The 12330-nt window shown below is 48.6% G+C and overlaps 1 long non-coding RNA gene across 1 annotated transcript; it reads left to right on the top strand.

Moving 5' to 3' along the window:
• Positions 1 to 732: 732 nt before the first annotated feature.
• On the top strand, positions 733 to 1996 carry LOC124902555 (uncharacterized). Its single transcript, XR_007062384.1, has 2 exons — positions 733 to 818; positions 1745 to 1996. It is a non-coding gene; the product is annotated as an uncharacterized LOC124902555 (long non-coding RNA).
• The last annotated feature ends 10334 nt before the right edge of the window (positions 1997 to 12330 follow it).

Here is a 12330-nt window from a genome sequence, read left to right as displayed (position 1 = left end):
CGGGATTAAACGGAGACATTAAAGAGCATCCACCTGGGGAGAGTGGCAACCAGGGGCCAGGCTCACCTTGGCTGCCTGCTGTGTGGCTTCAAGCAAGTCACTTCTCTCTGAGCTGATTTCCTCACCTGAGACATTCTTTCAAGCATGGTGCTAAGCGCTGGGTATATAAGGTAGTGGATAAAACAGCACAGTCTCTGTCCTTATGGGATGTACAGTCTGATGTGAGAGACAGATAGAAACAAATCAATACACGAATGGAAGAGATCAGCGAGGTGGCATGATAGAGCATATGGAAGGGGATATTTTATGGGATGGTCAGGACATCTGCATGTGAAAGATGACATTCTAAACTTTAGTGAGGAAGAAGAGGAAGAGCCAGCCATGGACACTCAGGAGGTGATAGAGGGAAACGGGTGAATTCCAAAATGAGGAAATGTTATCAGTTAGTATCAGTAAGGTAAGAGGCTTTCCTGAACAACCCCAAATCTTCATGATGTCAAATAATAAAGGTAAGTGTATTGCTCAGAGTATAAGCCCAAGGCAGGTCAGTGGGGAGGGAGGGGTGTTCTGTTATGTTACAGAATGTTCTAGAATCTTTTTATTAGGCTACCATCTCAACACAATATTCAGGGTTTTTGCTGAAACAGCGGAAGAATAGTATCTCATACAGGCAATCAAATGTTTCAGCTGGGAAGACACAAATGCATCATTTCAACCCACAGTCCATTGGCTAAAATGACTCACACAGCTCATCAAACAGCAGAGGCCCAGGAAATGTAATCCGCTCGTGTGCAGAAGGAGGGAAGAATCAGACAGAGGTGAACATTAGAAGTGTCTACCTACATCCTGAATCAGAAAGGCCTTGAAGCCTCTCCTGTCAGCATGGGTCACCTTTACACATCCCAAAGTGGCATCTCACTGTGTTTGCAGTGCTCCTAGACTGGCCTGCAGGGTCCAGGCAGAGGCCTAATACTGTGGCCACAAGACCCTCTCACAAGCCAGCTGCCATCACAAGACAGACGCAGGACGGGGCCTTCCACCCTCACCCTTGACTGCTCCTGGAGGCCCGACATCTAGCCTTTCCTTGACTCTGTCCACATACCTAAGTTTTCAAGAAGAAGAAGCAATTGGGGAGCATTTGCTGTATGGCTGGCTTTCCACTCTTTCTCCTTGGGAGGATACAGTGTGTGTGGGGTGGTGTCTGCAGGAGGACCTGTGGCCGCACGCAGGGCAAGCCCCCAATCAACCCTGGCTGAATGCAGTGGAGGAGAAAACTGCATAGCGTCTCCACAGCAGCCTTGCAGAGCTATGAATAATGATGGTGATTAGGAGATGGCACCATCCCACAGTCTTACGTTCAGTGTTTCAGTTTCTTGTCACAATTATCCTATCAGGTAGATTTTATTATCCCCTCTTTCCGGCTTCTAACTATCATCTTTCAGTCCAGACCAGAGCACTTCTATTATTGAGTCTTTTAGCCAAAACATCTGTGGACAGTATTTTAACCCCAAGGCATCCCTTTAGCAGTAACATGTGAGTCACGCGGTAGGTAGGCTAGGTGGGGACCTTGCGACACCTTTAGGATGCAGCCAGAAGCTCCACCCACTGATCAGTGTGCTCTTTCTGAAAGGGCGGGACAGTCAGGCCGACAGCAGCAGCAATGTCATTAGGTCTGTGGGATCTTGCATCAGAAAGTCCTGGATTCGAATCCCAGCTTACTGTGTGGTTTTGTTTCTTTTGACAGATGCTAAGTCTCAGATTCTTCATCCGCAAAATGGGAATTAAATCTACTGCAAAGGTTGTTGGAAGAGTTAAAATGGGATCATGAATGTAAAATGCACGTCATGATATAACACGAACAAAGAGAGCCCGGAGAAAAACAGAACCCTTTCCCTACAGCAGAGAACTGCACCAATTTTATTGAGCTCCTGTTCCAACTGGAGAGAGAAGCTTCCTTGATTTATGCGTCTGATAATAAAAGAGGTGCCAATTACAAGACGTTTACTACTGTTGATTAGTTCCGTGTTGCTGGAAACTAGGTCTGTCGAAAAGATAAAACGACACCACATCATTTCCACGTGGCTTTGGTGCATTCCTTTTTAGCCCTCCTTGCTGCTCTCTCCCTAAACACAAAATCTAACTAGCCCCTCTGGGGCCCGGCAATCTCCCACCCTTGCCCCGGGACCGAGGTGAGAGGCAGCCAGCCCCCACATTTCAAACTTTTCCGGCATGCCAAGCCTTAATACTTTTGTCTCTGGCTTAGCTCCTTTCCCTCCCACAAATAAACTTGGGGCTATTTTAGAAAGCTTTTGCCACAACAGCCTCTGAGTGCTAATGAGTGTGACTTCAGAAGAGAATTTTCCATTAGTGAGTAAGAAAAAAAAAAAAAGAAAAAAAAAATCACCTTGAAATGTAATAAGCAACATCAGGCCCTTGTCTCCTAACAATGCCCAGATTCAAAACTAAAGCTGCTTTTTGATTAGATGTTTCATTCAACAACTATGTCTTGAGTACCTACTATGTGCCAGGCATCAGGCTGGGTAATGCTGCGAATATGGAGGTGTGTCATGGGGAGACCACGGCCCCTGCTCTCCAGGGGTTTATCATTTCAGAGGACTGCACAAATAATGAAATATGGCTGAGGAAGAATGAGATACGCAGATCTGTGGGAAAGTCAGAGAAGGCTTCCTGGAGGAAAGAGGCAACTAGGATGGGCCTTGAGGGATGATAACAGATGGTGTCCCACAACCTGGGTTGAAATCCCATCTCTGCTGATCACAGTTGTGTGACCAAGTCAAGTTACGTCTCTTTGCCTCCTTTTCCTCATTTGTAAAATGGGGACCAAAATAGTACCCATGCCAGTGGCTGTTGTGGTGATTAATTGAATTAATACAAATAAAGTACAGGCCCTGCCACACAGAAGTACTCAATACAAGTAGCTATTAAATAGCTATTATCTGTTAAATGGGGCTAACAAATAGGGTTTATTTTGCTGCCAGGATAAAGAGGAGAAAATTCCAGGAAAGCACTTAGCACAAGAACTAGCACATGGTAAGCACCAGATAATATTGCTCTTTAGTATTATGGTGGTGGTAGTTGTTGGCCGCTGGGGGTAGGGAGGAGAGAAGGGCAGGCAGGACAAAGCATTAATTAGCTCCCCCTCCTCTCTTTCTGAGTTCCGGGCCCTCCATTTGGCCCCACGCCCTTGGCTGCCAAGTGTCGCCTCCAGATCCCCCGCCATGAATCCCCCCGGAAGCGGGAGCAAAGGGAAGGCAGATTCTGGCCGCTCTCCTCTGTTCTCAATCAAATGTGCTGCTTTTCTGCCTGGCTTCACACATTGTAAAAGGCAGCCATGTTCAGATTGCTCAGTGTCCACACATCGGGCTCCTCCTGACCCGCTGTTTGCCTGCAGATGGGTTCGAAGCCCATTATTGTAATGGATTTGCTGTTGGGTAGAAGAAGGGGTTGTCCGCCTAATAAATCTTTGCCCCAGTGGATCGCATCCAATAGACCATCCTCCACACCACGGTTTTGCTCTGACGGATTTGTTTAGTGATTTCTGAAAGACAGATAAGCTCCAATGAGTGCCCTGAGATAATATAGCAAGACATCATGAAGATGGAAAAAGAAACGCAGGACTTTTTTGGAGCAATAATTTAAGGATTTTTTCCTTTTCTTTTCTTTTTTCTCTTCTTGTCTTTTCTTGGTCCACCTTCTGAAAGTGTTGTAATACCATCTTGCTGTTAGGTTAAAAAAACAAAGTGCTGCTAATGAGATGCGTAGAAAAGTAAAAACATGTCATGCAAATTAGACACCTTTGGGGATTTTGAAAAACCTGTTTGAAGGGCTAATTAAGAAGCTATTAAAAATAATTCATAATAATCTGCTTTCCCCAAATTCTTTTCAGTTCAGAAGTGTAAGTGATGCCATTTTTATTTCACTTTTTGAAATACATAAGTAGCAGGCCCCTCGTTTACCTGGACACATTTGTTTAAGCAACAGGTCCCTCGTTTACCTGGAAATACTTTTCAAAACCTTTAATGACTTTTATTAAGGTAATCCCATTTGTCCCCTTCCTCCTGACATATTCCTTTTCTGCTTGAGCTGGTTCTTGCAGCAGATTGTTCAGCAAATGCGGTCAGCGCACCATCGCAGGAGTGACTCTAAGTCTCACTGGGAGAAAATTGTTGTGAGTTACAGGAAATTAAAAAATTCCTGCAATACCAACCCACTTCTCAAAGTCAATCTGTGGTATCCCAGCATCCACTCGACTCTGAAGTCAGGCCAGAATGATTTTTGAAGAGTAATTTCCAGCCTTATAAGGGGTCACGTCGTGTATTGAAGCCATATTTGCTTCTGTGTTTTGTAAATTTCAAACTCATTACTAAACCTTGTCTCTTATACCTTGTGTCTGGCTCTTACCTTGCCCTCATCAATCTGAGCCTTGAAAATCTAATGAAGAATGGCACACATTTTGCATGTGGAAATGTGATAAAACACCAATTGTTAGGAACCTGAGGAGGAATCAGTTTTCGAGGATGGGCGGGGAGGCGGGCCTCTGTTCTTAGAGCCAGCTCACTGCTAGGTCTCTGCAAGTCCCCAGGAATAAAGAGAAACAAACAGGATTTTCCCACTCTCCTCTGAGCCCCACTGTTCCCTGTCTTTGAGATAAGCCACAGGCCGTGTCTGCGCCACAAGCTTTCAAACCGTTCATGCTCTAAGAGCCAGGCGATAAGATGAGCTCTGTAACATTTTCCTTATAGAAAGCAGAGGTCTCTGTGTTCTGCAGAACAATATTACCCTTTACTTGTGTTCCAAGATAGTAGCTCAGTTAAGCTGTGAACACCTTGAGAATTTCACATGGTATCTCATAATGGACACAGAAACTACATGCCTGGGTTCTGTGATTTTCTCCAAGGAAATCTATAGAGGATGGAGTGGCAGATAATCATGGCCTTTGGGGCATTACAAAGGTTGATGAAAGCTGTGGGACCTTCTCCTAAACATGCACTCATGCACACACACACACATATGCACACACACACAGCCTGTCTCTCGAGCTCTCATTCTTGTTATCTCTTGCATCCCATTTTAGAGAGTCCACACTAAAAACCTTTGGTGCAAGTAAGCATCACACCGCAGCTCCCTTCACCTGAATAGACAGGAGTCAGCTTGGAGAAATGGAAAAATCGTGAACTTTGGAGGCAGGCTGACACGTTTGCAAACCAGCTCTGCTATTTCCTAGCTGTGTGGCCTTGGACGAGTCACTTGACCTCCCTGGGTCTTGGCTTTCTCATCTGCAAGTGGTGACAATAATACCTACTTTTCAGGTTTGTGCTGAGAATGGGCAAAGGGCTAGGTAGATGGAGACTCATCTATTAGGTCAGATGGTTCTAGGCTCTGTTTTGGGAAGGAAGGGGTAGGTAGATCCACCAAGGGGGTTGAGGCAAATCAGTGCTTAGTGCTGGCCCAAAAACTCTAGATTCAGGCCTGGAACAGCTCTGTTCTTAACACCCAGCCTGACACCTCCTAATGAAATGTAAATGAGCGTTCTGACAAGCCTGGCATTTGCTTGGGAGAAAGGGTGTGAGCAGACAGCCACAGACAGGGCAGCCTCGGAGTGTGGCTTGGATCTGAAGCTGGCTGGTTTGCAGTGAGAGCACCTTGCTTTCTCCCCTGGGGGTAGCCCCAAGGTGGGGAGTTTTCACAAAGCCTGCCCTCTCCCTAGAGACAAGCTCTGCCCTCTTTTGGTCCACATGTCCCTCTGGATCTTCCCATGGGTGGTCATCACAGCTAAACGGCCTGATGATCCAACAGGAAGTGGACACATCCCAACTTTGGAAGGTCAGCCTGACCACCCTGGCTCCTGCCTCCCATGGACAAGTGAGTGGGGGTTGCTTGGAGAAAGCCCCTGCCTATGGCAGGCTTGGGACCTGTACTCCTGGCACCAGTGTAGGTGCAGCCTTCTCAAGCCCAGATGCCAATAGGCCAAGGCCCATAAGTGACCTCCGTTAAGCACAGCTCTCCTAGGGGCGCCTGTCTGGCCAGAGCTCCCTTCCAATGTGAAACAGATCCTGTCCTGGCTGGCCTGGAAGCACTTGGAATTCAAATGAAGGTGCTTCCATGACCCGTAGACACAGACACAGTGGGTACCGGGAAACAGCCCAGCTGTGCACATGTGATGGAGCACCCCACAGGCAGCCTCGAGTCAAGTCCACTCCCCACTGGGCAGGGATGGTAAGACCCAGAGAGGTGAAGCTGCATCTCGGAGATCACACAGCCAATTGGTTTAGGGCCAGGAGAGCTCAGAAATCATAACCTGACACTCTGGGCCTCCAACAAAAGTGTCCCAAACTGCAGACCGACTCTTTCTTCTTCATTCAAAGAGAATGTTTCCGGAGTAACTATGTTGTGCCAGGCCCTGGGAAGCTAAATATGAGCGAGATCATTGTTATCCTTCCTGCCTCCCAGAGATGAGGGCAGATTTCCCCACAGAAGCAATGGCTGAGACAAGATCCAGAGCTTGAATGGGAGTAACTAGACCAAGAGGAGTGACGAGTGTCCCTGGCAGAGTAAACAGCTCATACAAAGGCCCTGTGCCCAGAGGAACACATAGGAAGAACTGAAAGGAGAGAGTGGCTGAGGTTCAGCGAGCAGGTGGGAGCCTGGGTCAGGTTGAATGTCTCCAGCAATTTCCTTGTTGGGGTTCTGATAAAGCCAAAAACACCTATTGGCTAGCACTTCTCCCCAGTTTTAAAACTGTATAATTGAGAGAAAATGCAATCCTATACTTTTCATTCATTCATACTTAAGTCATCAAACATAATAGAATATATTAAAAACTTTATGGTATCCACCACAGCTTTTGGTCCATTTTAGTAAGATTTTATTTTGTCTTTATCTCACAGTCTTCTCCAAGGATGAGGGAACTAGACACCCAGAGTTACCAAGCAGGGCCAGAGGAGACTGGCCTAGACTGAGCCAGGCAAAGGAAGGGCTGGAGGAGTCCCGGGGCCTTTCTTCCCCTCCCCTAGCCCCAGTAGCTGATGCCCCCATCACCATCCTTTATGAAGCTCTGGATCTGGGGTTGCTTTTGAATGTCCAAGCCTTTCAGGGCTGCCTTCACAAGCTTTGCTCAGAGACAGTGCTGGCTGAGGCCAGCAAACTCCTTTCCCTCCTGCAAAGGTCACCTTCCTGGAGCAGGCTCAGGAAAACCACTGGGACCCCAGACAAGCAGCCCTGGGAGATAAGGAGCCCTCCCCTCATTCTGCACTTGCCACTGCCAAAATAGTCTTCCAGCCCAGGCTGCCCAGGGCTGTGCCAGCCATGAGAGACAGGCAGTCTGGAATAGACCCCTCCTACTATAACAGAGTCATCAGATCACCAGTTCTTCAGCCCACCAACTCACTGGACTGTCCAGGATCTACAGAGTGGTCTGCAGAATTTTTAGGGAAGGTTTGATGCTTGAGTTTCTTCTTCCTGCTCCTGTCTCTAGGTCTAGGACTATTGACTGCAGCCATTTGCCTTCAGAGACAAGGGCTGGGTCTCACATAGGGGAGGAGGGGGAAAAAATTTTGGGAAAGGTCCTCAGGAATTTGGCAAATCAGCTGGTCAAGGAATTGATTGTGCAGAAATGAGGTCATTGGGCTGAAAGGCGCTTTTTGCAACCTGGTTTTAGGGAACTGGCCTGGGGCTGTGGAGTGAACTGGGAGAGAGGGGTTTTGGAGTTGGGTGCCTGAGTTCAGATCCTGGTCTTGCTATTCACTCCTGAGACCAATTCATGTCTCAAAGCCTCAGTTTCTGCATGGTCAGGTGGAAAGTTGTCAGAACTGACCTTCCACACACAGCAGTAGGCAGGACCGATAATAAGCACTGCTGTAGTTTGGCTGTGTCCCCATCCAAATCTCATCTTGAATTGTAGTTCCCATAATCCCCATGAGTCATGGGAGGGACCTGGTGGGAGGTAATTTAATCATGGGGGCTGCTACCGTCATGCTGTTCTCATGATAGTGAGTTCTCACAAGATCCAATGCTTTTATAAGGGAGATGCTTTTATGTGGGACTTTTCCTCGTTTGCCCAGCACTTCTCTCTCCTGCCGCCTTGTGAAGAACGTGTTTGCTTCCCTTTCCACCATGACTGTAAGTTCCCTGAGGCCTTTCCACCCATGCAGAAGTGTGAATCAATTAAACCTCTTTCCTTTATAAATTACCGAGTCTTGGATATGTCTTCATAGCAGCATGAAAACAGACTAATACAAGCACCAATATGGCAAGACGGACAGTGTTCATTCTCATTGGCTGGTGCCCATGTGGTATCTGCCAATAAACATTCACACAAACTGCTGGCTGTAGAGTCAAATAACATAACAGATGGGTACAGGGAAGCACGTGGCACAGGAGAGCACTCAACAAGTGGTGGCTTGGTTACATTGCCCAGGGCCAAGGCATACTCACATACCCCAACAAGCTAAAGTTGCCCCCCACAATACACACCCAACCCCAACCCCACCAAAGTTGCAGAAAAGTGAGGCCCGGGGCTCAATGAAAACTAAGTTGACCTCTTCCCAGAGACCCAAACATCCGGGGCTTTTACAGTGTCTCTTTGGAGCTGTCTGTCAGCAAGCAGCCCAGGAAGCTCACATAGGTGCTTGTCTTTTTTCCCCATGACCCAGGGCTGGAGTGAGAAGACAAGGCTTCACAGGAAGCATGCCTTGTCCACCACCAGCACCTGCATCTCAGCTGAGCCAGTGGCGTTCTGTGTTCCTCAGCCTGTCTGGGACCTGGAGATTCTGGAAGCCATGCCGCCCAGGGGAGGAAAACCAGGTGGAGAATTGGAGGCATTCATAACTCTCAAATGTATTTAGTGCTGCATTTTCAGACTCATTGCAGGTCAGAGGGTTTCAGTGAACTTGACTGCATGTTGTAAGGGATATTGTCTGCTATGGAAGAGAGATTCTCAAATTTGTGGATGGCCGAAAATTTCCTAACATGAAGGTCTGCTATAATAAGCTCATTATTTTGTACTTAGGTCTGCAAGAGTAGGGATTGAAACTCACTTGGCCGTTTCCTCGCACTTAGCATATAATGGGCGGTCAATAAATGTTTTTATGTTAATAAATGAATGAATAAAAGATTTTGTTACCCATAAGAAAACCTAGCCCAGTATCCAGCCTGGGGTCAGGCCTAAGCGGAGGTGCCTCCACTGGGATGTCTCCCCAGGGCCCTGTAGCCATCACCAGGGAAGGGCCAGCCACATCCCATGCAGGATGGAATCTGGGATGGGGAAGGTCATTTGTGACCCACCTCTCTCTTCTACCCAGCACCAGAGATTGTAGTTTGTTCCTGGGTCCTTGGCGAGCTTAAGTTGGCTGCCTCTGCCCACCAGGCTGCCTCCTGCCAAGACCCAGATTGGCAGTCTAGCACCCAGAGAGCCACGCTTGCTGGGGCCTGGGTGTGTGGACACTGGCTTTCAGGCTACTGACTGCCCCTTGGGCCATGTGACCCCTTGCCCGGCCTCTGCAAACCCCGCTTTGCAATCATGAGGACCCAGTCTGCCTGGGCTCCCCTCGCTCCTCACTCAGACCTCAAATGTCACCTTCTTCCTTACACCCTAGCTGAGACAGCTGCCCAAATCAACAAGCATGTGATCTGCAAACATGCTAATTTTGATCTTCTACACCACCTCTGAACTGCTGCGGAGGAGATGATGGGAAAGGGTTCCCTGAGGAGCCGTTCCAGCCTAATGCATCACATGTGCTGAGAGAGGCCAGGCCGGGCCAGACATTTGCAGCTCAGGTACCAGCCCTCCTGGGGTTCCCAGCTCCCATGCACCTCGGCTGAGCTGGGAAAGAAGAGGCTGGGAGGCTGGGCAGGGAGGACTCATCCCTCCCACCGTAGCCACCAGAACACACAGATCACCCCCTCTGTGCTACTCCATGGCTGGAGGACATTTTCTGGCAGTTCCTAGTGGATTCAAATTTGCACACAGAATAGCATCTCTTTCCCACATCCAAGCCCAAGACAGGAGATGTTGAAGGTGTCCAGCCCCATGGACTTAACACAAAGCCCCCAGCCATTGAGTTTAAGTTTAAAATAACACTATTAATTATCCACAGATTCTAGATTCTCCCACTAAGCCAGGTACATGGCAAAGTTGTGTGAAAGGCAGCATTTTGCACCTTTTACCAAAAGCACAAATGTGTACAGGAAACAGGAAACAGACTTTTATGTGCAAAAAAGCACCTACTATGTTTCAGGCCCTGGAAGTTACAGGGATCTGGTGGGGAGAGTTAGCCACTAGGGTTACTAGCAGATACAGTGGAAAAACTAACAGTGCAGTGGAAAAAGAACAGGCTTTCAAGTCAGAGAGGCTGCAATCTACTGCTGATCAGCTGGGTAACCTTAGGCCGGTTCCTTAACCTGTCTGAGACTGTTCCCTCATGGATTAGACAGCCATAATTGCAGCTTCCTTACAGCAAATGAGATGATTCATGTAAAGTACTGAGAGCAGTGCTTGGTGCATAGAAGGTGTGTGTAATAACTGCCCCCTGCCACCCCAGCTCACTTTGACTCTGACTATTCTCAGCCACTAGTCCTGACCTTGGGCTATCCCAGATGCATCTGGAACCCCGGATTTATTGTTCTCTCCTGAGGCTGATTCATGTCTCAGAGCCTCAGTTTTCACCTGATCAAGTGGAAAATTGTCAAAGCTGACCTTCCCCACACAGTGGGAGGCAGGGCTGGTAATAGACACCAATATGGCAAGAGAGACACTGTTCTCTATCAGGGAGAAGTGAAGGACTTATGTCTCAGATAAGTCTTTGGTTCCTTGGGTCTTCAAGGCTTGTCCTGTTAAAAACAACGCCCACAGCCTCATAAAGCAGGACATCCACTTTCCCAAGCCCCCGGGGACTTTACTTCCCTCCCGCTGGTCCGCCTGTTAGCTTGCATGAGTTCTAGGCCACTTCTCTGCCTCCACGGGAAATGGCCCTCCAGCCCATCAATGATTTGAAGAGACCCTTTGGGGCTGTAGTGCCTTCCTTTCTGCTGGACCCCAGCTGTGACCAAGTGGCCAAGTGGCCGGGTGGGGGCCACTGTCAGGACCATGTGAGAGAGTGAGATGCCTGCCTTCCCACCCTGAGAACACAGTCAGCAGGGAGGGGAAAGTAGGCTCTCTGCCACACTTCTGGCCATGTGGCCCTCTCCACAGGGGCAATGACCAGATTCTGCCTATGGTGGCCAGGAATGCCCTGGAGATAGGGCCTGGGCCTCCTTACAAACATTGCCAGGGTACAGAAAAGTGACACCAGGAGAAACTGGGGTGGGAGAACCTGTGGGCCCATTCCAGGCAGCCTGGGGCACTAGGAAGGCCACACTGAGACTCCGGGTCTACCAGGTACCGATCATGAGGTCTTGAGCAGTTTGCCTCACCTCCTTGGGCCTCAGCGTCTGCATCTGCAAAATGAATCTCATTGTGCCCCATTCCTGGTGTTGACAAGAAGATCTACTGAGAAAATGGACGTGAGGGCGCTTTGTCAGTGGTGGCCCACTCTACCAGGGTGCGAGATACACTTACATCAAGGGTTCCTCTCAGTCACCACTTCTGTCCCATGTCCCCAACCTCCATATCCACTTGTACCCAGGACATGTCCCTCTGGATGTCCCACAGACTCCTCCAAGCTGCACACTCAGAACTGAACTCATCATCTTCCCCTGGCCTGCCCCCATCCTGCACCCCTAATATGGGGATTGGCAACATCATCTCCCCTGACCCCCAAGCTCCAAATCCCTAGCCTAATCCAGGTGTCCCTCCTTACCAACCTCTCTCTGGGCTTCAGCTGATGATCGGATGCTTTGTCACCCAACCTCCTGCTCATCTCCAGAATTGCTTGCTCCTCACCATCCCCAGGGCACCACCTCGGTCTGGGTTCTAGTCACCACTCTCCTGGACTGGTGCCAAAGCCCCTGACTGGTCTTCCAGCCTCTGGTGAGACACCCTCTAGGCCAGTGTCCACAGAACTGCATGGTGGACACATTCTTAATCATAAACAATACTGGTGATAATAATCATTACAGGCAATAAGAATATAGGCAAGTCCTTTGTCTACATTAGCTCACTTAAGCCCCCAGCAACTCTGTCAAGGAAGTGCTATTATCATCCCCATTTTCCAGGTGAGAAAACTGAGGAACAGGGTGCTGAGGCCACACAGGAGTGAACAGCAGCAGTGAGGTATGAAGCCAGGCAGTCTGGCCTCAGCCTCCCTTACTTAGTAAACTCAGTGGGTTTCTTCATAATCAGTCACAGGATGAACTTGGCATGGGAACACAGCC

Source organism: Homo sapiens, chromosome 10 (assembly GCF_000001405.40).
Source record: "Homo sapiens chromosome 10, GRCh38.p14 Primary Assembly".
Classification (NCBI taxonomy): Eukaryota; Metazoa; Chordata; class Mammalia; order Primates; family Hominidae; genus Homo; species Homo sapiens.
Note: the sequence above shows the minus strand (reverse complement) of the source record. Positions and strands in the feature narration are given on the sequence as shown.